Here is a 25880-nt window from a genome sequence, read left to right as displayed (position 1 = left end):
CATGAATGATAAGAAAGTGAAAGAGCCTTATTGCTGATATAGAGAAATTTTTAGTGGTCTACTTAGAAGATGAGACCAACTACAACATTCTCTTAAGCCAAAACCTAACTCACAGCAAGGCCCTAACTCTCCTCAATTCTGTGAAGGCTGAGAAAGGTGAGGGAGCTACAGAAGAAAAGTTGGAAGCTACCAGGGGGTAGTTCATGAGGTTTAAGAAAATAAGCCATCTCCATTATACAGAAGGGTAAGATGAAGCAGCAAGTATTGATATAGAAGTTACAGAGAGTTATCCAGAAGATCTAGCTAACATAATTGATGAAGGTTGCTACAGTAAACAACAGGTTTTTGATGTAGAAGAAATAGCTTTTCATTGGAAGAAGATGCCATCTAGAACTTCCATAGCTAGAGAAGAGACATCAGTGCCTGGCTTCATAGGAGAGGCTGATTCTCTCATTAGGGGCTAATCCAGCTGGTAAATTTTAGTTGAAGCCAATGCTCATTGACAATTCTTAAAATCCTAGGGTCCTTAAGAACGATGCTAAAGCTACTCTGCCTGTGCTCTATAAAGAGAACAAAGAAGCCCAGATGATAGCACATCTGTTTACAGCATGGTTTACTGAATATTTCAAGTCCATTATTGAGAACTATTGCTCCAGAAAAAAAGTTTTCTTTCAAAATCGGACTTCTCATTGACAGTGCACCTAGTGACCCAGGAACAGTGATGGAGATGTACAGGAGATTAATGCCGTTTCATGCCTGCCAACACAGTGTCCATGCTGCAGCCCATGAATCAAGGAGTAATTTCAAATTTCAAGTCTTATTTAAGAGATACATTTTGTGAGGCTGTAGCTGCCATACATACCGATTCCTGTGATGGAGCTGGGCTAAGTAAATTAAGAACCTTCTGGAAGAGATTTGCCATACTAGATGCCATTATGTGGTCTTGCATGTCACGGGAGGAGGTCAAAATATCAACATTTTAAAGTTTTTTCTTTTTTATAAATATTTTTGGAGACAGGGTATCACTCTGTCACCAGGCTGCAGTGAAGTGGCACAATCATAGCTCGCTGTAGCCTCGAAATCCTGGCCTCAAATAATCCCATCTCTGTTCCCCAAGTAGCTGGGCCTACAGGCATGCATCTAAAATATCCACATTAACCGGGATTTGGAAGAAGTTGATTCCAGCCATCATGGATGACTTTGAGAGGGTCAGGACTTTAGTGGAGGAAGTCAATGCAGAGGTGGTGGGAATAGCAAGAGAATTCGAATTAGAAGTGGAACCTGAAGATATGACTGAATTGCTGCAATCTCATCATAAAACTTCAACAAATGAGGCGTTGCTTCTTACGGATGAGCAACGAAAGTGGTTTCTTGAGATGGAATCTACTCCTGTTGAAGATGCTGTGAACATTCCTGAAACAACAACAAAGGATTTAGAATATTACCTAAGCCTAGTTGACACAGCAGCGGCAGGATTTGAGAGGACTGACTCTAATTTTGAAAGAGGTTCTACCATGGGTAAAATGCTATTAAACAGCATCACAAGCTACAGAGAAATCTTTTGTGAAAGCAAGTGTCAATGAACGCAGCAAATTTCACTATTGTCTTATTTTCATAAATTGCCACAGCCACCCTAACCTTCAGCAACCACCATCCTGCTAAGTTAGCAGCCATCAATATTGAGGCAAGACTCTTCACCAGCAAAAACATTATGACTTGCTAAAGGCTTGGATAATTGTTAGCAATTTTTTAGCAATAAAGTATTTTTATTTTTATTTATTTATTTTTTGAGATGGAGTCTCACTCTGTCACCCAGGCTAGAGTGCAGTGGCGTAATCTCAGCTCACTGCAACCTCTGCCTCCCAGGTTCAAGTGATTCTCTCACCTCAGGCTCCTGAGTAGCTGGGATTACAGGCACACACCACCACACCCGACTAATTTTTATATTTTTAGTACAGATGGGGTTTCACCATGTTGGCCAGGCTGGTCTCGAACTCCTGACCTCAAGTGACCCCTCTGCCTTGGCCTCCCAAAGTTCTGGGATTACAGGCATGAGCCATCGCACCTGGCCTGAAGTATTTTTAAATTAAGATGATAGGTACATCTTTTTTTAGACATAGTGCTATTGGACACTTAATACACTTTAGTATAGTATAAAGATAACTTTTAAGTGCACTGGGAAACCAAAATATTCAGGTGATTTGCTTTATTGCAATACTTGCTTTATTTATTTATTTATTTTTATTTTTTATTATTAGATGGAGTGTCACTCAGACTGGAATGCGGTGGTGTCATCTTGGCTCATTGCAACCTCTGCTTCCCAGGTTCAAGCGATTCTCCTGCCTTAGCCTCCCAAGTAGCTGGGATTACAGGCGCCCAACACCATGCCTGGCTGATTTTTGTATTTTTAGTAGAGACAGGGTTTCACCATTCAGACCACGCTGGTGTCGAACTCCTGACCTCAAATGATCTACCCACCTCAGCCTCCCAGAGTGCTGGCATTACAGGTGTGAGCCACCGTGCCCAGCCTATACTTGCTTTATTGTAGTGGTCTGGAACTGAACCTACAATATCTCCAAGGTATGTCTGTACGTAACATCAGAAAGTTGCATGGGACATTTGATGATTCTACATGGGAGAGAAGGTGATAGGAAGTAAACTGTTGGTGGCAGGAGAATGGAGGTACTGGGTTCAGGTAAGCACTTGTGTGGCATTTCACCTCCCCCAACAGTAGAAAGTCTGGCTTATTCCTCTGACCTTTATGAACAAGACATTCCTATGTCCTTAGACGTTCTTTACTATGACTTCTACAACAACCTGGGCATCATATGGAAGGTGAGTGACCTTATGTATGATAACTAACAGTGTTATGAATTTGGGCTCAACAGACTTTCTTGAGATCTTTGAGAACTTGCCCTTGCCTGCCGTTGTGCCACATGCTATGAATCCTCTGCCTTCAAATAGCTTAAAATATATTTGGGGAGGTAAGTCAGAAAGACATAAAAACAATTCCTAACACTATAAGGCACCATTGAAGTTTCAAATAATCCATTCAGATACAAAGTCACCAGGGAAAGAGAGTATTTAAGAATAGTAGGATTTAGAAAGGAATGGGGTTTGGGACTCCAGGAGTGGGTGTGCTGTGAGCAAAAGAAGACTATGATCTTGATGATCTTGGCTTCCCAGGAAACAGAGAGCATGGGACACTGGCTGGAGGGGAACTTCACAGAATCATCCCGCCCTTCAGATGAAAGAAGCAGATGAAGACCTAAGGTTATTGTTGGCTTCCTCTTTTGCCATTCATAAAACAATATACATGTTTGAATAGAAGCTTTGCAAACAATGATCGGGATGGTTGGCCAGATGTACCCTACAGGAGGTGGGAGAAAAGCAGCAATCTGTCCTAGCCCCAGGCAGGGAATGTATTATTTTATGCCAAGCAGAGCCCCCAAAATAGTGTAAAAAGCCAAGATCTCCGCTGTTGGTGCGATGAATTTCCCAGGAAGGGGAGAACAGAGGGGCTCCTTCCTTCTCTCTAAAACAAAGGAGAATGATTTGGCCCCAAGCAGAAGCAAGCAGAGGATAAATATTTACTGGCAATTTAAGGAAACAAGGGATGATGTTGCTCTGTCCCAACCAATGGAGTTGCTTCTCTTTACTTGATGTTCTCTCAGCATTGTGTACACAGTTTCTACCTCCCTATGAGGCACTTGCATCTCTAACATCTTGGGATTTTTCTTCTCATTCTTTTGGATATGGGTGTCTCACTACCATATGATTACAAGCACCCCAGAGGCAGGAGCTACTTCCTCTTCCCCTTCAAGTGCCCCTGAGTTTCAGGATACTGCAATGCAATGAACGGGTGTATAGTTGATGTGCCTGTCTAGTTAATCAAATGAATCTGGACAGAGCTGCTTTCTCTGCAGCTTTTACTACCCAGACCCCCACGTGTAGGCTGACTGGGCACAGGCTGAGATAACCAACTGTCCTACAGGAACTCTGGAAGAAGAGGCCACTGATAACCTGGCCCCTGCTGTGCTGTTCAGTGTCTGTGACTCTGAGAGCACAATAGATTTTTCCTATCTCACTACAGAAATTCCATGGTGCCAGAGAGGAGGCCTTGGCTTGAGCCAGAGCCAGCTTTGTAAAAAGTATATAGTGGGACACAGAGGGTATTATGTTAAAAAAGAGAATACCATAGAAGGGGCAGAACTAAGCAAAAATGATACCACCTCACTATAAAGAACATTTTTCTAATCCATCATTTGAATGCAAAAGCTACAAATAGTTTGTTGAGTGTCTATATTACAAAGCACAAAGGTAGGGGCTAGCATAGGAAACTGCTAAAAGCTTAAAGTTTAACTTTGAAGAATGAGTAGGATTGGATTTCTAGGCCTGGCAATATGGCCAACTAAGAAGGTTTCAACAAAAATGTTTTTCAATGCACAGATGAGCTCTCAAGAAAGAAAATTACATCTCTTGTTTCCAAAAATGCAGACAGAAGTTTAAAACAAAGAGCCCAGAAAAAACATGAGAGACATTATAACTTCTCTAGGGGAGAGGTTGGAAGAATGAGCATTAAAAAACATGTGACCCGGGTGGTGCTTCTCAAACTGTAATGTACACAGGAGTCATCTATAAGTCTTGCTAAGATAAAAATTCTGATTCTGCAGTGGGGACTAAGGGTCTATTTCTGACAGCCCACAACATGCTGCTTCTGTGGCTGCTGGTTCAGGGCCCCCACTAGGGATCTATGTAGCATTGCGTCTTAAAGCCAACATTGAGACTACATGTTAACCTCAGCAAGGCTTTGAGCCTGATAAAACCATGGAGCTGGTAACTGAAATTCCTGCATTAAGCTGGAACCCTGCTAGAGCTGCCTCCTTGGTTATAAGATCAACTAGAAAAATCTACCCGTCAGTACCAAGGTATTACAAGAAAGTTTTTCTGTTTCTGGGTGGAGAGATAAAGTCTCTCTTGAAAAATTGGAACTCTAAGCCTATACCTTGCATGGATGAAGGATTCAAATTTATTTATTCGGCCTAGGAACCCGTAAGTTCAGGAACAAACATAAGAAAAAAAAAAAAACAGGTCTTAGGACTGGGCATGGTGGCTCACACCTGTAATCCCAGCACTTTTTGAGAGGCCAAGGCGGGCTGATCACTTGAGATCAGGAGTTCGAGACCAGCCTGGCCAACATCGTGAAACCCTGATTCTACTAAAAATATAAAAATTGGCCAGGCATGGCGGCGGGCTCCTGTAATCCCAGCTACTTGGGAAGCTGAGGCAGGAGAATTGCTTGAACCCGGTAGGCGGAGGTTGCAGTGAGCCGAGATTGCGCCACTGCACTCCATTCTGGGTGACAGAGCAAAACCCTGTCTCAAAAAAACAAAAAAAAAAAAAAAAAAAAGCAAGTCTTAGTTAAGTGATACCCATAGAGTCCCTGGCAGAAATAGAGATAATAACATTAGAAGGATATTCTCACAACCCATGCCATGAGAAATGTTTACACACACACAATGTATATAAGAGCACAAATTGAAAATTACAAAATACATAAGACAACAATTCACCATTCATTCACCAAGAATGAGCAGACAAAATAAACAGGAGAATTAGACTTGATAGAACAGAATGGCAATCAGAAAGACAATATGAAAGAAAAATGTTTGAAATGATTAAATACATATCTACAGAAGACAAAACCCCTAGAAGAGAACAAGGCACTATGAAAGTAGAAAAAAAGATTTAAAAAAAGAATTTTAATGAATAAGTCTCATCATTGAGATTAAAATGCAGGGCACAGCGTAACTGCAGATCAGCAAAACTGAATAGCGAATATGGGAATTGTAAAATAGATCATTGTCATCTGCGATTGTAAAATATATGCACAGATTACCCTCTGCAACCAGAGAGATAAAGAGATAGAAAATATTACAGCATGTTAAGAGTAATGGAGATGAAGAGTCGACATTTCACCGGATTTGAGTTTTGAGAGAATGAATAAGAATTCATACTTGAAGATGTTAGTCCCAGGCAGGACAGAGGAAACCAAATCTATAGCAAGAAGCCTTGTACTGAAGCTACTGAACACACACACACACACACACACACACACACACACACGATTTACAAAACCTTAAAAATATACAAGGGAAAAGGGAGAGAGAGAGAGGAGAAAAAAAAAAAAACAGAAGGGAGGAGAGGAGGAAGCAATGAGAGAAAAAGACAGATTACACAGAGCATAACAATTCGCCTGACAAAAGGCTTCTCAGCGACAGCGATGGACACCAGAAGATGGTGGAATAATATTTCCAGCTGCTCGTGGAAAGTAATTTTAATCTAGAAACTATAGAGGGCTAAACTATTGAATAAATATAGAGATGAAACAAAAAAATATTCAGATTAAGGCCGGGTGTGGTGGCTCACACCTGTAATCCCAGCATTTTGGGAGGCAAGGCGGGTTGATCACTTGAGGCCAGGAGTTCGAGACCAGCCTGGCCAAGATGGTGAAACCCCATCTCTACTAAAAATACAAAAATTAGCTGGGCATGGTGGTGGGTGCCTGTAATCCCAGCTACTCAGGAGGCTGAGGCAGGAGAATCACTTGAACCCAGGAGGCGGAGGTTGCAGTGAGCTGAGATTGTGCCACTGCACTCCAGCCTGGGCAACAGAGCAAGACTCCATCTCTCTCTTTATATATATATACAAATTAAGACTAAGATAATATATTATTCACAGGCCCTCAATGAAAAAGAGTATATTTTCTAAAGAAGAAAACTGAACCCAAGTGGAAAGAATCAGATACAAGAAGCATTGGAATCTTAATCAAAAACAACATGACAATAAATGTGCAAAACAAGGGTTGGGGCAGTGGTCTCAGGGATTTGTTTCACTTTTCCACACACTTAGGGGCAGGGGATGGTTTGGGGATGAAACTGCTCCACCTCAGATCATCAGAGATTAGATTCTTATAAGAAGCGTGTAGCCTACATCCCTCACATGTACAGTTCACAATAAGGCTCAAGCTCCTATGAGAATGGAATGCTGCTGCTGATCTGACAGGAGGCAGAGCTCGGGCAGTAATGCGAGTGATGAGAAGCGGGTGTCAATACAGATGAAGCTTCTGACTGCTGCTCACCTCCTGCCCTGTGGCCCAGTTCCTAATAGGCCATGAACCAGTACCAATCCATGGCCTGGGGCTGGGGGATCCCTGAGTTAGGGGACTTGGAGGGCTTTTATGGAAAGAAATAGTTGAAATGCATACACTTTGACCTTCAAGAGACTCTGTACTATGTGAGGCTGGATGTGAGCCTGGCTCTAGCAGAGGGCTCCTTTGGTGACTAAGTGTAAAGTAAAGATGTTAAGGCGGATGCTTAATCCTCTGACCCTGCTGCACTTTTTTCTTAGAACTTCTCATTACCTGGCATGGTACTGGTTCATGCCAGTACTGTGCTTTATTTGTTTCTTGACTTTCTCTCCTATTATAATGTCCATGAGGAGTTGGACATGTTGGTGAATGCCTGTAACCCCAGTTACTTGGGAGGCAGAGGTGGGAGGATTGCCTGAGCCCAGGAGTTGGAGGCTGGAGTAAACAATGATTGTACTGCTGCACTCCAGCCTGGGCAACAGAGCAATACCCTGTCTCTAAGAAATAAGTAAATAAATAACTTCTATGAGGGCAAGGACTTTGTCTATTGTGTTCCCTGGCCTGGCGCATAATTAGTGCTTACATATGATTGAACACAAGAAAGGGAAAAAATTGTGCAGGGTTTCAAATGTATGGGGTGCAGACTTTCTTCTATGGGGAACAGGTGGGACGAGACTAAGGAAAATAACCAGCATTTCTGAGTGTCCACCAGGTCCTGGGCTATACACACAACATATTATCTTATTTTGCATGGATTGTGGAACAGCAAAAAGCATCTATTAGTGATCAAAATGAACTGGACTTCCAATTTGATTTAAAACACAAGCCAAGAATATTTTATTAATCTCAATTCATTGTTTTTAGATGTTACTGTGTATTTCCAAGGGAGATGTGAGCTTTGAGCTTATGTCTAATGCAATATCATGTGTCCGACTGAGGCAGCGGAGATAAGCTCCTGCTCTGTGTTCCTGCTAAAGCTTTCATACTCTGGCATGGCCACACTCAACACCACTTAATGATCTAGTCATTCCAGTTTTCTAACACCTGCCTGGATAGACCCCAGGCTGCAAAAACCCTGAAATTCCGGTTCTAACAACAAATCACTGAAAATCAGAAGGCCCCACCTTGAGCTCACAGCCAGCTCCACCTCCTTGAAGACGGGAGGCCCCTCATGCTCTGTGTTCTTAATGGCACCAGGAAGATCCCCTCCTGGGGCCTCTTGAGGTTAATTGTCTGCAGTAGAGATGTTGAAGCCAGAGAGACTCTCAAATTCTGATGCCTCTACCCCACGCCACCCCTACCAGCAAACTGTAGCCAGTTTCAGATGTACCCTGACCGGAATAGTTCTTTCCATGAATGGCGTCGGACACTGTGTCCTCACTCAAAGTCCCGATGGCATGAGGGTGACCTTGTACACACAGGATCCAGGGCAAAGAACAAGACGTATTCCCAGTCCTCACCTACAGCCAACACGTGACCTAAGAAGACCTTTTGGAGAACAGCCTGAGCAGCTGGGCAGCCATATAGAAAACTGCTAGCTGTGCATCTACAGGCTGATGGAACAATCACGACCTGTCCTCATGGAGAAGCGTCCGAGGTGTGGCCCCATGTTCCTGCCACACTGCATTGACTCTTTCTCCAATGGAGTCTCGGGTACTCTTCCTTTCTGCCTTTTCTGGTATTTGCAATCTCCACCTTCACCACTTGCTTCTTTCCCCGGGGTTGAAACAAGTTCACAAATGAACACATAAATAAACCCTTCCTCTTTCCCCTGTACATCTCCTTACTCTATCATCACCCACTCTCCCTGAATTTGTGCCCGAAATAACCCCTGCTGCTGACAGCCCCCAAGAGCAGCCCAGTCGACTTATCCAAGGGTCCTTTCTTCTTCCTTTGAACATAACTTTAAATAAGTCTTTTGTCCTAGATAGCACGCTCTAGAAGTACAAGGAGTACATCTTAGACTTCTTGTTAACCCCGAGCTTTGTACGCAGCAGGTGCTCACAATTGCTAGAAGGGATGGAGAGAAAAAGGGATTGATTCAGAAAATGATGTCACTGCAGGCAGTATTCTTTCAAAGGAGTGAGTTTCTGAACTTGTAGACCTTGAAGAAATTGTAAAGGATCTGATTTCAGACCCAGTGGAAGCTGCAAGAACAATGTGGTTTCGAGTTCTGCTGTTTCATTATCCCGGGTTGATTCAGCTGGCTGGGCGGGTGCCCTCTTTTCTCTCTAGGAGCTCCAGCTGCCCCTCCAAGCCCCTCTTCTGGCCTGGCATTCCCCAGCCTGCAGTGAAGGTCAGAGCAGATCCTACCGTATTCAGAGAAGTAGGAAACGCGAGCTTGAATCTTCTTCAGTGTTCTCAAGAGAGTGAGATATTGGCAAGCACCTGTTTTCTCAGCACTGAGAAAAGGGATCAGGGATTGGTGAGTGGAAGACACTAATTCAAGTAATGAAGGGCTTTTGCTCTCATTTTGACAAGATGAAAAACCACACAATAATTTATGAACCACGCAGGCAACTTTTAATCACCACGATTACTATAGACAGGCAAGGGCAGTGTTGATAGGAGTGTGGGAGAGAGCTTCCTGGAGGAGGTGAGGTGGAAGCTTCTCCTGGTGCAATGTGCAGTGTGGGAACAATGTCCAAGAACCATGGTTTGCAGGTCTGTGGCATGACCTAAAGGCTTTGGAAGGCCCCAGAAGACAAAAGCACATGTCAAAGCTACAGACACTTTGCAGTTCCTTTCAAAGGGCTCACAGGATGGAAATGGAGTCAGCGAGAGGGGCATCTACCATGCTGTTAAACGGAGAAGAGAGGTTTGGAGATTTGGGGACTGGGCTTTTGCACACCAGGGACAAAGCATGAGTGCAGCTTGTGATAAGAATTGATTTCTTCCCGGCCCCAGTCACCCCTGCTTTTGGTGATAGTTTCCATTTAAAACCGAATTCCTATGAAAGGAGCGCGGGGGCCTGCCCCGTGCCTGCGACCTGGGGTGGAGCAGACAAACACTGAAAAAGGGCTGACATGTATGGATGCCTCTGGTGATAGCAGTGGTTATATTTAGTCCCAAGCTCAAGTTAAACAGGGGGCCTCCTGCAATATGTATGAAGAGAGCACCAAGAGCAAACACAAGTGCAGGGCCAGTAAAAATAAAAGAGCAAAGTGCAAGACTCGAAAGAGTAAATATGCACAGGCTCTGGCCCCAAGATATGCCAGGTGGGTGGAGCTAGACACTGTGAACAGGGCCAGGAGAGCCAGTGCCACTGCAGAGGGGCCCCTTCCCATTGTCAAGTGCTCATAGTGAGTACAACAAATCCTCCAAGGCCTCCTGCCTTTACCATCCACTCTCCAGCTGCATGCTTAAGAAAAGGCTGGGAAATAATCATCCTGGGTCCCAGTTTCTTCATCTATAAAATGAGAGGACCGAGATGCAAAAAAAACAAATTCCTCTCCTGCATTAGGATTTTTCCAACTCACCTTACTAGCTGCCTGGAAAGGTGTGAGGCTGAATGACACCTCCTTTGTTCTCCAAACACTGTTGACATAGTGACCCAACTGTTAGTTATCTTGATCATGTCCTCTAAGGGATCAACTGAGCAAAGAGCCAAAGAACCCACTTTTTTTTTTTTCTTTTTCAGAACTAGAGTTGATCTACTTTCAAGTTTAACAGCTCAGCTCCTAAAGGAAAATCTGACTCTCTGTGTAGCAGCAATACACTGGGCTGGCAGCCTCTTATAGCACCTTGAAGCATATTAGAAAAAGTTACTCTATCCAGGTAGGCAGAGTCTTCAGGGCCCCCAGCTTGGTGAAGGGAGCTCAAGCTGCATCTCGTCACCTCCCCACCCCAACCCTCTCCACTCAACCCTTGGCCGGCACTTCCGTGGGGCAGAACCTACACAATCCTACACCTTAATATAGCAGCTGGCTGTCAGTCAAAGTCAGGAAGGTTTATTTTCTTGATGCCTGTTCCTTGCTTACAGGGCCTCTTTTTCATGTCCACTCAACTGTCTGGATTCTTCTGCTTTTTGTTTCATGTACTCTCCTTTCTCTCTGACGTGTCATCTCCATACAAGTAAGCATGAAGTTGGTGCAAAAGTAATTACTTTCAATGGCAAAAGCCGCAATTACTTTTGCACCAACCTAATAATAGCGTGATAACACACAGATTCACAAAACAGGTCATACTTTTATTCACCAGTCTAGGCTGTACCTTCCTGAAAGTCAGGGACATGGTTTATCTGAGCAAAACGCTTGACCCATAGTGGATATTCAGTAAATACTGTTGAATGAATGAAAAACAATCTCCCAGTGGTTCTAAATTGCCTTTGAATCATGGATTTCTTTGAAATCTGATGGAAGCCAGGGTGATATGATTTTGCTCTGTGTCCCCACCCAAATCTCATCTCGAATTGTAATCCCCATGGGGAGGGGCCTGGTGGGAGGTGATTGGATCAAGGGGGTGGTTTCCCCTAGGCTGTTCTCCTGATAGTAAGTGAGTTCTCACGAGATCTGATGGTTTAAAAGTGTGGCACTTCCCCTGCATCTTGCCGTCTGCCTCACTTCCCCTTCTCCTTTTGCCAAAAATGTAAGTTTCCTGAGGCTACCCCAGCCATGCGGAACCGTGAGTCAATTAAACCTCTTTTCTTCATAAACTACCCAGTCTCAGGTAGTTCTTTATAACAGTTTGAAAAGGAACTAATACACAGGGATATTTTCTCGCAAAATGAACATGTACAAACATACTAAATTTTGCATACAGTTTGGGAAGGATCACCAACTCCTAGCAGGAAGGGATTTAGATTTTAAGCCAGGATAAAAAGGTGTGATCCCTTTAAAAAAAAAAAAAAAAAAAGGTTGCGGGGGGGACTAGAAATGAACTAGGACCTGACCCTCACCAAGAATCTAATGTGTCACCGGGTAACGGGTCTGTCATCTTCTTTAATCCTTACAACCACCCTTTAAATAGGCATTACTATCTTCATTCTACCAACGAGAAAATGAGGTTTCAATAGCTTTTCCACTGTGAAACATCAGACCGAATATTCAATCCAAGTCTCTTTTACCTGCAAACTCATATTCTTCTGCTATGTCATTATGCCTCCAAATATTACAAATTCTCAGGATTCTACAGTCAATTCCCATTTATTGTGTTTTGATGGATGAGGCCCTTTAAAAAAACTACCATCTAAACCAAGCAAACAAATGCATCTTAAATATAGTCATATATTTTAGATTAGACAACTTTATAAAGGATTCCTATGGAGTTTTAACAAAATCTATAAAATGATTGCCAAATGTATCTTGCACATTATATTTTCCTTAGATTCTTAGACTAACAGTAAAGCAAAATGAAACCAACATCTCAGCTAATCAGAATGCCCCTCACTGGCACCTGTGACTAGGTTAATGTGCTTCTGTCCATGCTGAAAGAAAGCAAAACAGAAGATAAGAGTCTTGACTTTAGCATACATTGACTCATTCACTTACACCGTGGATAGAAACACAAACTGCAGGGTCAGAAAGACCTAGGTTTGAGTTCTATCCTTTTCGCTAGTTGTTAAGAGACCTTAGGCAAGTTACTTAACTTTGAAAAGGCTTAGCTTCCTCATTTTAAATGAGGGTATTCACGGTAACTATTTCAGAGGAATTGTTATTATTATTATTATCATTTTTTGTATTTTAAATATACAGTAGGAACATTTATTTTAACACTTCTAAAAGATATTTCTCCATGCCTGATGATTTGATATAAAAATCAAACCCATCATACTTTCCCCATCAGTCTCTCTACATTTAGGGCAATCAGAAATTTGTACAACACGAATATTTGCTTCTGAAATGAAAATTACAAATTTTATTGAAGGGGTTAATGAATAATGCACTTAAACTTCATAGTGCAATGCTTGGCTTGTAGTAAATGTGCAGTAAATGTTAGCTACAATTTTTCATCTTTACCATCTTGGTCTTCATCGATGTGGTTCTACAACGAGCTGACATGAACAGAATGATGGCCCTGAGGTTCAACAGAACTGGTAGTTTGCCACATGACTCAGCAATTCCACTCACAGTTGTCTGCCCAAAAGAAATGAAAGCATGTGTCCATAATACCAATACCGTTAGCAAAGACTGCGGCATTATTCGTAATAACCAAAAAGTAGAAACAACCCCAAAGGTCCATTGATAGGTAAAAGGATAAATAAATTGCTGTATCATACAATGGAATGCTCTACAGTGGTAAAGAGAACAAAAGCCACGTGAAAAAGAGTATATAGTGTATGCTTATTTATTTATTTGGTTGGGGTTTCTGTTTCTTTCTTTTTTTTTTTTTTTTTGAGAGAGAGAGTGTCCCGCTCTATTGCCCAGGCTGGATTGCAATGATACCGTCACAGCTCACTGCTGCCTTGACCTCCCAGGCTCAACTGATTCTTCCAACTCAGTCTCCTGAGTAGTTGGGATCACAGGCATGCACCACCACACCTGGCTAATTTTTTATTTTTTGTAGAAACAAAGTCTCACTATATTGTCCAGGCTGGTCTTGAACTCCTGGGCTCAAGCAAACCTCCTGGCTCCCTAAGTGCTGGGATTACAGGCATGAGCCACTGTGCCTGGCCCTGTATGATGATTTATACAAAATTCTGAAAAAAGTTGAACTAATCAGTAGCATTGGAGTTCAAATCTTACTTGGGGAGAAGGAAGAAGAGAGCACAAGAACTCTTTGTTGGTTGGATGGATATGCTCATCATATCCTGGTGATGGTTTTATGGGTATATACAGATGTTAAAACTTACCAAATTGTGGCCGGGTGTGGTGGCTCATGCCTGTAATCCCAGCACTTTGAGAGGCTGAGGCAGGTGGATCATTTGAGGTCAGGAGTTCGAGACCAGCCTGGCCAAAATGGTGAAACCCTGTCTCTACTAAAAATACAAAAATTAGCCGGATGTGGTGGGGGGGCGCCTATAATCCCAGCTACTCGGGAAGCTGAGGCAGGAGAATCATTTGAGCTTGGGAGGCAGAGGTTGCAGTGAGCCGAGCTTGCACCACTGCACTCCAGTCTGAGTGACAGTGAGAGCCTGTCTGAAACAAACAAACAAACAAAAAACTTACCAAATTGTATATTTGAAATATGTGCAATTTGCTGTAAGTCAATTATACCTCAATAAGGCTGTTTAACATTTTTTTCTATTTCTTTATTAAAAATTTTTTTTTTATTTCAATAGGTTTTTGGGGAACAGGTGGTATTTGGTTACATGAATAAGGTCTTTTGTGGTGACTTCTGTGATTTTGGTGCACCCATTGCCCAAGCAGTGTACACTGTACCCAAGGTGTAGTCTTTTTATCCCTCACCTCCCTCCCAACCATTGCCTGGAGTCCCCAAAGCCCACTGTATCCTTCTTTTTGTTATTGTTGTTGAGATGGAGTCTCACTTATTCTGTCACCCAGGCTGGAGTGCAAAGGCGCCATTTCGGCTCACTGCAACCTCTGCGTCCCGGGTTCAAGCGATTCTTGCTTCGGCCTCCCAAGTAGCTGAGATTACAGCTCAAGCTACCACACCCAACTAATTTTTTGTATTTTTAGTAGAGATGGGGTTTCACCATGTTGGCCAGGCTGGTCTCAAACTCCTGACCTCAGGTGATCCACCCGCCTCAGCCTCCCAAAGTGCTGGGATTACAGGCGTGAGCCACTGCGCTCGGCCAATTATTTGTATTTTTAGTAGAGACAGGGTTTCACCATTTTTGCCAGGCTGGTCTCATACTCCTGACCTCAAGTGATCAGCCCACCCCAGCCTCCCAAAGTGCTGGAATTACAGGTGTGAGCCACTGTGCCCGGCCCACTGTATCATTCTCATGTCTTTGCATCCTCATAGCTTAGCTCCCACTTAGGAGTGAGAACATGCGATGTTTGGTTTTCCATTCCTGAGTTACTTCACTTAGAATAATGGTCTCCAATTCCACTCAGGTTGCTGCAAATGCCATTATTGCATTTCTTTTTATGACTGAGTAGTATTCCATGGTGTATATACATATACCATAATTTCTTTATCCACTATTTGATTGACGGGCATTTGGGTTGTTAAGCATTTTTTTTTAATTAACAAAAATTTAAACTTCTGCAATGGCTTTTATTGCTTTCAGAATAAAATCCACATTCTTTATGATGTATATAGTGCTTGTTTATGTCTTTTCTTCTTTCTTCTTTTCTTTCTTTTAAAAAAGTCTCTTAACTGCCTACTAAATGATAAATTACTCTTTTTTTTTTTTTTTTTTGACAGAGTGTCATTCTGTCACCTAGGCTGGAGTGCAGTGGCACAATCTTGGCTCACTACAACTTCTGCCGCCCTGGTTCAAGTGATTCTCCAGCCTCAGCCTCCTGCGTAGCTGGGACTACAGGCGCACGCCACCGTGTCTGGCTAATTTTTGTATTTTTAGTGGAGACCGGTTTTTACCATGTTGGCCAGGCTGGTCTCGAACTCAGCCTGTGATACTCAGGAGATCCACCTGCCTCAGCCTCCCAAAGTGTTGGGATTACAGGCGTGAGCCACCGCACCTGGCCCTAAATGATAAATTACTTCTGAAGAGAGGCCCTGTTTGTTTGGTTTACCACTGGGTCCCCAGTACCAAATGCAATGCCTAGCACAAAAACACTCGACTGTTAATGAGTGAATAAAAAACAGAAAATCATGAAAAGCCAAAGAGTAATACAAAAAATATAAAAAATATGTAGCATATGAAAGCGGGGAGAAAGCGCTGGGGATTGAATAGTCACAAAAGGCTTCATGGGGAGGCACACACAAAGGGTCCTGAAGGATGGAGGGGGTGTAAATGGGAAGAGAGAAGAAAGGGGGACTTCCAGAGGAAGCGGGAGAGCTAGAAGAGTAAAGGCAGAGAGGGAATGGGTTCGTTTGGGACCTGGGTAGGAAAGGTGGCTTCGTCTAGAGAGTGAAGAGCCCTGACTCCCATCATAAAGGCAATATTTAGGATCTGCAGGATGGGTGCGTGAGATTGAAGAAAAGAAGAATGTCAGGAGAAAGTCAGACAGAAAGTGGGAACAGAGGCCGGGCACAGTGACTCACGCCTGTAATCCAGCATTTTGGGAGGCTGAGGCGGGAGCATTGCTTGAGCCCAAAAGTCTGAGGCTGCAGTGAGCCATGATCATGCAATTCCAGCCTGGGTGACAGAGTGAGATCCCGTCTGAAAAGAAAAAAAAAAAAAAAAAAAAAAAAAAGATGGCAATAGAAGTAAAGAGATGGACATTTCATTTCATAGAACGGGACTTTGGATCACTTAGGCCTCTTCTCAAAGCATGCCTGAAATGTACAATCAACATCAGGCAGCTGGACCACACTTCCGAGGTCAGCCCCAAGCCACCGCTCCTCCCTCCTGATCATCCTCACAGTGAGCCCTTTCACAGTCCAGCAGTGACGTTGTCCAAGTTCTTTCATGGTGCCTCTCCTGTGACTACCTCCATGGGAAAGAAAGCATTGCTTCTGGGGTACTTGGCCCTGGTTCAAGGCTTGAGAGAAGGCCAATCCCTTGATGAAGAACCAAGGGTAGGTGTCCTCAGACACCCCTTGTTTTGAGGCCATACTCTTCCCCAGCCTCCAAGATCCTGGGAGCCGGGGCTGGATTTGTAATCCAGCACCTCTTTATAAACTCAGCAGGAAACCCTTAGAGGACCTGGCTTTGTTTTGAAAGGAGAAGAGAGGAAGCAAAGCAACTGAAAAGGCACTGTTGACTTTTCATTCAAGGCTAAAGCCAAATAGAATGTGTTTGCTCTGCACTGAATGCCATGCAATGGAGAGTTTGTACTTGAACCTCATGAATGGCCCAAAGTAAACGTCCTCTCTACCTCAGGCCCTCAGCAATACATTTAGACAGTGCTTCAGGCTTATCAAGTACTTTCACAGACATTATCTCATTTGATCCTCAGGTCAGCCTATGACGCAAGGGGGATTATTATGATTTCTATATTCCAGATGACCCAGTGCCCTGCAGCTAGGCGGCGAGGGCTCCCGAAACATTTCTTTAATGAGGCTAGTAAGGCCAAGTGCCTTGCCCCCCGACCCACCCCTACAGATGATCCTTAAACACAGAGCAAACTTCTATTATATAAACATCTGTCCTGGCCGAGCGCAGTGTAATCCTAACAGTTTGGGATTCCAAGGCAAGCAGATGTCTTGAGCCCAGGAGTTCAAGGCCAGCGTGGGCAACATGGTGAAACCCCATTTCTACAAAAAACACAAAAATTAGCTCGGCATGGTGGCATGTGCCTGTAGTCCCAGCTACTCAGGAGTCTAAGGTGGGAGGATCACCTGAAGCAGGGAGGCTTGAGCCCAGGAAGTTGAGGCTGCAGTAAACCATTATCAGGCTACTGCACTCCAGCCTGGGTTTCAGAGTGAGACCCCATCTCAAAAACAAACAAACAAACAAACAAACAAACAACAACAACAAAAGACCTGTCCCATGGATTTGGGCATCCTGTAGCCAATTTGAATTTGCAATGCTGAACTCCTTACCATTACAGAATTAGGTTTTATTAAGAGATAGCCCTCTACGGACTCCAAGTAGGGAGAGGTAGAGAGAACGGGAAGGACTGAAAAGATATCTACTGGGTACCATGTTCACTATTTGGGTGATGGGTTTAATACAAACCCAATCTATTCAACAGAACCCCAGCATCACCCAATACACCCATGTAACAAACCTGCACATGTACTCCCTGAATCTAAAATTTAAAAGTGTTTTCAAAGAGGTAGCACTCATGAAGCCCTACAGCGTGCCAGATGCTCTCATGCAGCATCTCATTTAGTCTTCACACCAGTCCTAAGAAAGCAGGTTATACAATCCTCATCTTGCAGCTGATGGAAGTAAAGCTGTTGCAACTGCCAGTAGGAAAACGGCAGGATTCATATCCCACCTTCTGGCTCCAAAGCCCATTCTCTTTCCTTTGTGCCATAATGGTTTTTAAGCTGAGAATTAATTATCTTTGGATCCTTCCTACCACCCATTTCAGGACTCTCCCAACCCCCGTAACACATATACATACTAGCTACATAAAAGGATTACGTTTTTTTAAAAAATAGGAAAAATCTCTCCAATCTTAATATTTGTCTGAGTCTTTAAATTTAGCAAAACACTTCAGGGTTTCCTGTCTTCAGACAGGCTGCCATTGTTAAGTGTTAGGGAAGGGCCCGTCCTACAGGAGATGAAATACCTTGTAATCCCCAAAGCAGTGAACTCCAGCAGGAACTCACATTGTAAAACAGACCAAATAATGAGAAACACATTTATGTTCCCCAACTAGCACACAGAGAAGAGAGAAAAGGAGATGTGGTCTTTGTTCTGAGCAGTTGGGTTGCTGGAAACTCATCATCCATCAACACACAGGACACAGAGAAGGAGAGGGAACAGAGCCAATCTCTCTACCCTGTGCGCAGAGCAAACAGGTGGGGCAGATGGTGGGGAGGGTTTTTGCCTCATCAAAGAGGTACGTGGATTGAAAAGTTTGAGACTCAGCCCTTGCAGCAATTGCAGAGAGAGGGATTGCGAGGCAAATATCAATGCTTAACTCTTGGAGAGGCTTTTGGAATGCTGCCCAAGTCTGCACTGAGAATGAGGGCATGATCCTCTGCCCCTTGAGGAGACTCTCCTGGTTGCTTGGATTTGTCCTGAGAGTCCACGACGATTCTCATGCTCATATTGTAATATGCTATTATTTTAGAAATTGGAGCTTGTCAAGAAACACCGTAGCTAATGTTTCAATTGTCCTCAATGCCTTGTCTGCTATTTGTATTTGATAATATTCTCCAGCAAAGCTTTTAAATTGCTGATAATTACTACTATACTTGTTATTATTAAAAAATTAGTTTATAACAATTATTAGTAATAGTTGAAGCTAGCTGATTGGTGTATAGGGTACCACAATAAAAAGATAAAATAAAAAAGAAGTTTCCTTTATTTGCTTTTGAATGATAAGTAACACTTTAAACACACAGGCTTCTTCCTGTAAAAGTCACACCTAGCTCTTCCATTGACAAAATAATTATTTTAAAGTCTTGGCCAGGCATGATGGCTCACGCTTGTAATCCCAGCACTTTGGGAGGCCGAGGCGAGTGGATCGTCTGAGGTCAGGAGTTCGAGACCAGCCTGGACAATGTGGTGAAACTCCATCTCTACTAAAAATACAAAACAAAAAAAAATTAGCTGGGCATGGTGGCATGTGCCTGTAATCCCAGCTACTCAGGAGGCTGAGGAAGGAGAATTGCTAGAACCCAGGAGGCAGAGGTTGCAGTGAGCGGAGATTGCACCACTGCACGCCAGCCTGGGTGACAGAGTGAGATTCCGTCTCAAAAATAAATAAACAGTCTTAAGCTGTTTTACAAACTTTCTTACTTTCTTCTTCTTCTTCTTCTTTTTTTTTTTTTTTTTTAGAGACAAGGTCTTCCCTTCCAAAAATATTATCCAGGTGTATGCATATACCTGTGTCTATATTTGTAATGGGTTGAATTGCATGCCCCCAAAATTCACATATTAAAGTTTCAACCCCCAGTACTTCAGAAGGCGACTGTGTTTCAAGCTTGTCCAACCTGCAGCCCTTGGGCCACATGCAGCCCAGGACGGCTTTGAATATGGCCCAACACAGATTCATAAACTTTCTTAAAACGTTAAGATTTTTTTAAAGCTAATCAGCTTTCATTAGTGTTAGTGTATTTTACGTGCGGCCCAAGACAATTAATTCTTCTTCTTCCAATGTGGCCCAGGGAAGTCAAAAGATTGGTCACCCCTGCTGTGTTTGGAGACCTGGTCTTTAAAAAGGTGATTAAGTTAAAATGAGGTAATAGGGTGGGACTTGATCTAATATGACTGATGTCCTTATAAAAAGCGGAAATTTGGAGACAGACATACTCACACGGGGAAAGCAGCACGTGAACGTGAAGGCAACCATTAGAGTGATGGGCCCACGAGCCAAGGAACGCCAAAGACTCCCAGCAAACCACCAGAAGCCAGGAGACAGGCCTGAACAGATTCTCCCTCCCAGCCCTCAGAAGGAACCAACCCTGCCGAAACCTTGGTCTCAGACTTCCAGTCTCCAGAACTGTAAGCCAATACAATTCTGGGACCTAAGAAGCCACCCGGTCTGTTACTTTGTTATGGCAGTCCTAGGAAACTAAGACAAAACACATCTCTAAAAATATAAATCCCTGGTCTCAAGAACTCAGGGTATGAAGAAGCATAAATCTGAATCTTGTCCAAGTGGCAAACCACTGCTCACAGCCCTGGTTCCTTCCTGCTCTCAGCGCTCTCAGCTCACAGCCGTCATGCATCCGAAGAGGTTGATATGTGTGAGAAAGACCGAAGGAAAACAATTGCTCATTTGATTCCCCGTAATCTTCAGTGATGTTCCCTATCTGTTTACCCATGACAAGAGCAAATCTTATTTCCTGACATCTTCACCTACTTAACCAATGAACCAGTTTGTGGCTATAAACAAGATATTTGCTCATTCCAGCCCAGACTCAGAGGTGAGCCTGACCACAGGCCATGTGTGCAATGGTGTAGACGGGAAGATTCTGAACAGAACGAGAAGCCAACACCCCTCCAAATCCTCTCCAAATAAGGGTCTTCACACTTAAGATCCTTCACACTGTGGGGATGCCATCGCTGAAACACATACACAGGCGGGGCACAGTGGTTCAGGCCTGTAATCTCAGCGCTTTGAGAAGCCAAGCCAGGCAGACTGTTTGAGCCCAGGAGTTTGAGACCAGCCTGGGCAACATGGCGAAACCCTTTCTCTACAAAAACTACAAAAATTAGCCAGGTGTGGTGGCACGTGCCTGTAGTCCTAGCTACTTGGGAGGCTGAGGTAGGAGGATCACTTGAGCCCAGGAGGCGGAGGTTGCAGTGAGCCGAGATTGCACCACTGCACTCCAGCCTGGGTGACAGAGTGAGACCCTGTCTCAAAACAACAACAACAAAAACACATGCACACACTTCAGCGTAAGTTCAGAAAGCTCTTTCCAACATCCACAAATTAACAATTTTGTTACTGGGTCTTTTTAGAGGGCATTTAGGAATGTCTGTCTCTTTAAAATATGTGGATGGATTCTGAAATACTATTGTAAATCCAGAAACTTGACTTGACTCCCAAATGTACATTTCACATTTTTGGAAACTGGGAATAATTTGTTCTTAAGTGCTGTCATATGCTAACCAGACAGATGCTTTCCCTTGGGATTCTTTTGAAAACTCTCATAACATTAGACCTTGACCTAAGAACCACAGTCAAATTTATCTTCCCTGATGGATTCATTTATAGAAAGGCAAAGTTCAGACTTCTGTGTTTGACATTGAAATGCAAAATAAGCAAAACATTTTTATTTGAGCACAATATCACCAAATAATGGCAAGAACTCTTTTTTTTTTTTTGAGACAGAGTCTCGCTCTGTTGCCCAGGCTAGAGTGCTATGATGCAACCTCCTCCTCCTCCTGGGTGCAAGCCATTCTCCTGCCTCAGCCTCCCAAGTAACTGAGATTACAGGTGCATGCCACCACACCCAGCTAATTTTTGTATTTTTAGTAGAGACAGGGTTTCACCATGTTGTCCAGGCTGGTCTTGAACTCCTGACCTCAAGCGATCCACCTGCCTCAGCCTCCCAAAGTACTTGGATTACAGGCGTGAGCCACTGCTCCCGGCCAAGAATTCTTTCTTGTGGTGTTGTTTTCTAACTTTCTTGCATGTGGTGATTAAGTCAGATGCTGAAGAAGGGCCGACAGGGAGATAAAATGCAATTTCTGGGTGTTCTTGAAAAATTAACTTGCAGCATTATTTTAAACTTACACATAAATAAAATAGGGGAACATATATGTGTTAATATAAAGACTGTTGATTTTTGGAAAAAAATATTTTCAGAAGATCATTGGTGTCCCTTGCTGAATTCTGAACTTAAATGCAATTTTCTAGCTCCTTAAATGCTAAGTATTAGAAAGTAATATTACACACTATAAAAAGTTTATAAAATACAGAAAATAAATATTACCCCAAATTTCATCACTCAGAAACAGCTTGGAATATTTCTTCTCTGTCTTACTCTCCTCTCAAGCCTCTCAAATTGCAATTATACTGGAAAGTTCATTGTTTTATTGTGTTGTTGTTGTTTTTTGATCTTGTGTCTTTCCTCCACTTATTATTACTTTGAAACCATTTTCTTGTTTCACCTATTTCTTTTCTAAAGCACAATCTATAACTGAGGACATAGTTTTATCTATAGAGGAGGACCCCAGAGAGAGTTTCCTTTCTCATTTCTTCTCTTTTGTCCTATTTAAACTTTTAACCGTGTGCATGTGTAACTTTTTCCATTTAAAAACGAATACTCCTAAAACATCATCTTCACAGACTGTGTAATTCCAACGTATTCTACTTCATTTTCCACTCCTGGTCATGTAGATTTTTTTCCAATATTTTACCATAATCAATAAGCTAGAGTAAGTACCCTTAACATAGATCTTCATCTGCATTGCTGATTATTTCCTTTGGCTGGATTCCTAGAACTAGAATGATTGGGTCAACCAATGAGAACTTTGAAAGGCTTTTACATCACTGGAGAAACAGAACAAGTTGGCACCAAGGTGTCCTCCCACCAGCAAAATGCACCTGAGCTCACCACACCCCTTCTCTGTCGGCCCCTCTTCCTTTCCTCTCTCACAGCATATCAGGAGGAGGAAGAAGCAGTGGAGTTTCTGCATAATTGGGTCAAGCAAGTGTCCTGGGTCCTTGGATAAGGTTTGCTTACAAGGAGAAGGTGGGATTTTCATTACTGGCTCTTGGTGCCTGTCTGTGTCTCCCGGTTGCACATCCGCACACGTGCAGATTGGAAACATGGCACAATGAGACTGATGACAATCCAAAAAAATGCAAATGTGATATCATCTCAGCCGTCATCCTTGCTTTGCAAGTAGCACACCCTCTTTGCCAACGGTCGAGTCAGGAGCCGTTCTCTTGGATAATTTCAGGGAATCTGTCTCATTGTTCACATTCACATCCTCCTCCTCCCAATCTTATTTCCATTCCCACCAGCAAAATGCACCTGAACCCATCCTGCCACACCTTTCATTTCTTCACTGAAAAGCTAAGCGGACTCTGCCACCTAATCCCTCTGTTTTTCCTAATGGTGGGAAACAACAAAAACCCAAGGCATCGCTCCGGCTACACAAACCTCGTCATTTTGTACAGCTAGTGAAGAAGAGGTGGGGAGAACAGCATAGGATTGGAATCTGTGGGCTCCGGGCAGGACTTTGATGGTGACCAGGAGTGGAGTTCTGAAGGTAGAGCCAGGAGTCTCCACTCAGAGCCAGTGGGGCTCCTCTCTGCTTCCTCCTCATAGGGCATTTTCTTCCCTCTGAAGTTTGCATCATCTAGGGGACCACAGTGAACCACCAGTGGTCTATGGAACATACTTTGCAAACCCTTGTGTCCAAGTCATTCTCAGAAAAGGAAGAAGAATCTTAAGTTCCCCACTGGAAAGAGATCCAGGCTGCGTGTGGTAGCTCACACCCATAATTCCAGCACTTTGGGATGCCAAGGCAGGAAGCCCACTTGAAGCCAGTAGTTCAAGACCAGCCTGGGCAACACAGCAAGACCCCATCTCTATTTATAAATATTTTTAAAATTAAATAAATTAAAGAAGGTGAGAATGGTCTGGAATATGCCAGAATCATCTTTCCCTTTGGCCTATATGTTTTACAGGCAACAAAGAAGCACAGGTGAGAGAAACTCAGTGAAGAAAAGGAAAGAGGAGAGTGAAGCGGGAACCATGTTATTTCCCTAATCTATTTGAGGAAACCGAGCCTTAGTGATGGCGAATAACTTGCCAAATATCACACAGTGAGGAAGTGGTTGAGCCACAGTTCTACCCTAAGTCTGGCTAACTCTAAAGCCAAGGCCACCACATAACACTGTACGTGCTAACCCTGCAGCTTAGGAACTAACGTCACGCTGCTCTCCAGGGTAGGAGGAGCACGTAGTGAACCTATTAACTCACCCGCATGACCTGGTCAGGGAATGTGTTTGGCCTGTTCTGCAGAGACACTCATTGTCAACTCCCTGGTTAAACCCTCCAGCATGCTACAATCCAAAGGCAATGACGTGCATGTGAGCAATGAGGTGGATTCTCTGAAATTACCCAGGAGAACAGCTCCTGACTCAGCTGGTGAAAAGGAAGTGTGCTGCTTTCAAACAAAGGATGACTGACTAGCAGCCAGCTGAGCCCACAACTTGCACTGGCTGAATGGGCATTGCTCCCCCTCTGCGCCATCTCTCCCACCACTTATAAATGGGTGGATGGGCAACACACAGAGAGATACTCACTGTTAATCTCCCAGCAGTTTACACAAACGTCCGCTTGCATCACATGTCAAATTTCCTTCCCACACAAGCTGTGGTTTGCCGGTCGCCACTCCTGGTCCTTTCCTCTTTCTCTTTAATGATAATAAGAATGTCGAGAGCTTTAGCAGAATGGGCACAACTTGAGCTAACGGAATACCGTAAATGCAATTTCAGCGACATTAAATAGTTCAATGTTTAACAGCAAAGAAAGTGGGAAATTGAGTCAGTGAATGGCTAATTTGACCTGAATTATTCAGAAAACACTTTAATTTTTTTTTTTTTTTAATTTACAGAGGCTCAGACACAGAACAAATGCATGCACTGGTGTTAAATGCAGAGAAGAGAAGGTGTTATCTCCTGAAATGGATTCTGCTTTCTTCGGGGTTAGAAGGCCTCCTTTTTGAACTGACCTCAACCCTGCTGATTTTGTCTCCTTTCCTGGCCATGAGGATCAGAAATCAGCAATGATTTCATAAGTAACTTCTCATGAAACCACATACCGCAGCGTGAGTCACACATGTAGCTCTGTGCACCTGTAGGCGTATATGCCATTCTTTTTAAATCTGCCAGGAATGTGATGATCAACTGGACCCAGTTTGCCTGGGATTTTCCTTATTTGTACTGAAAGTCTTGTATCCTGGGAAATCCCTCACTTCCAGGCATACTGGTGTGATTGACCATCCCACCCAGGAAATGAGGAAGAAGCAAGGGGTCCTTAATGTGTTGTCCCTACCTGAATCTGCCCCTTTCCCTCTCTGTGAAAGTAGGGAACCTCAAACCCTTGTGGGGCCTGATGCTCCCACCCAGCTGCATGGGGAGGACATTTATGTCAACTTGAGCAGAAAGTAGGGGATCTAAATTTATCTATTGAAATGTGTTGCTACATCTCCAAACTAAGATGTCTGTATCTGCGTGTGCATTAAAACACATATAATTACACAAGGAATACATGATCACTGTATAAAAATAAAAAATAAAAATCAAAATAAAAATAAGGGCAGGGTGCAGTGGCTCAAGCCTGTAATCCCAGCACTTTAGGAGGCCGAGGTGGGCCTAAGGTCAGGAGTTCGAGACCAGCCTGGCCAACATGTTGAAACCCTGTCTCTACTAAAAATCAAAAAAAAAAAAAAAAAAAAAAATAGCCACATATGGTGACATGCACCTGTAATCCACAGTTACTAGGGAGGCTGAGGCAGGAAAATGGCTTCAACCCGGGAGGCGGAGATTGCAGTGAGCCAAGATCGCTCCACTACACTCCAGACTGGGCAACAGGAGTGAAACTCCATCTCAAAAATAAATAAATAATAAATATAATTTAAAAATAAATAAAAATAAGATGAAGGTGGGGG

The 25880-nt window shown here is 43.2% G+C and overlaps 1 protein-coding gene across 2 annotated transcripts in view; it reads right to left on the bottom strand.

Moving 5' to 3' along the window:
* Positions 1–12978: 12978 nt before the first annotated feature.
* ERI1 (exoribonuclease 1) overlaps positions 12979–25880 on the bottom strand; it is a 97208-nt gene continuing 84306 nt past the window's right edge. The window contains exons 7-8 of one of the 2 annotated variants that reach the window (NM_001354638.2): positions 24514–24623; positions 12979–13224 (exon numbers count right to left, since the gene is read on the bottom strand). In NM_001354638.2, the coding sequence (NP_001341567.1) occupies positions 24516–24623 (108 nt within the window). In that variant the 3' untranslated portion in view covers positions 12979–13224; positions 24514–24515. Of the gene's footprint in view, positions 13225–15265; positions 16341–24513; positions 24624–25880 lie in introns of those variants that run through there. The other variant, XM_047422402.1, reaches the window with a different exon arrangement.

Source organism: Homo sapiens, chromosome 8, assembly GCF_000001405.40.
Source record: "Homo sapiens chromosome 8, GRCh38.p14 Primary Assembly".
Classification (NCBI taxonomy): domain Eukaryota; kingdom Metazoa; phylum Chordata; class Mammalia; order Primates; family Hominidae; genus Homo; species Homo sapiens.
This window is presented reverse-complemented; position numbering and strand designations above follow the sequence as displayed.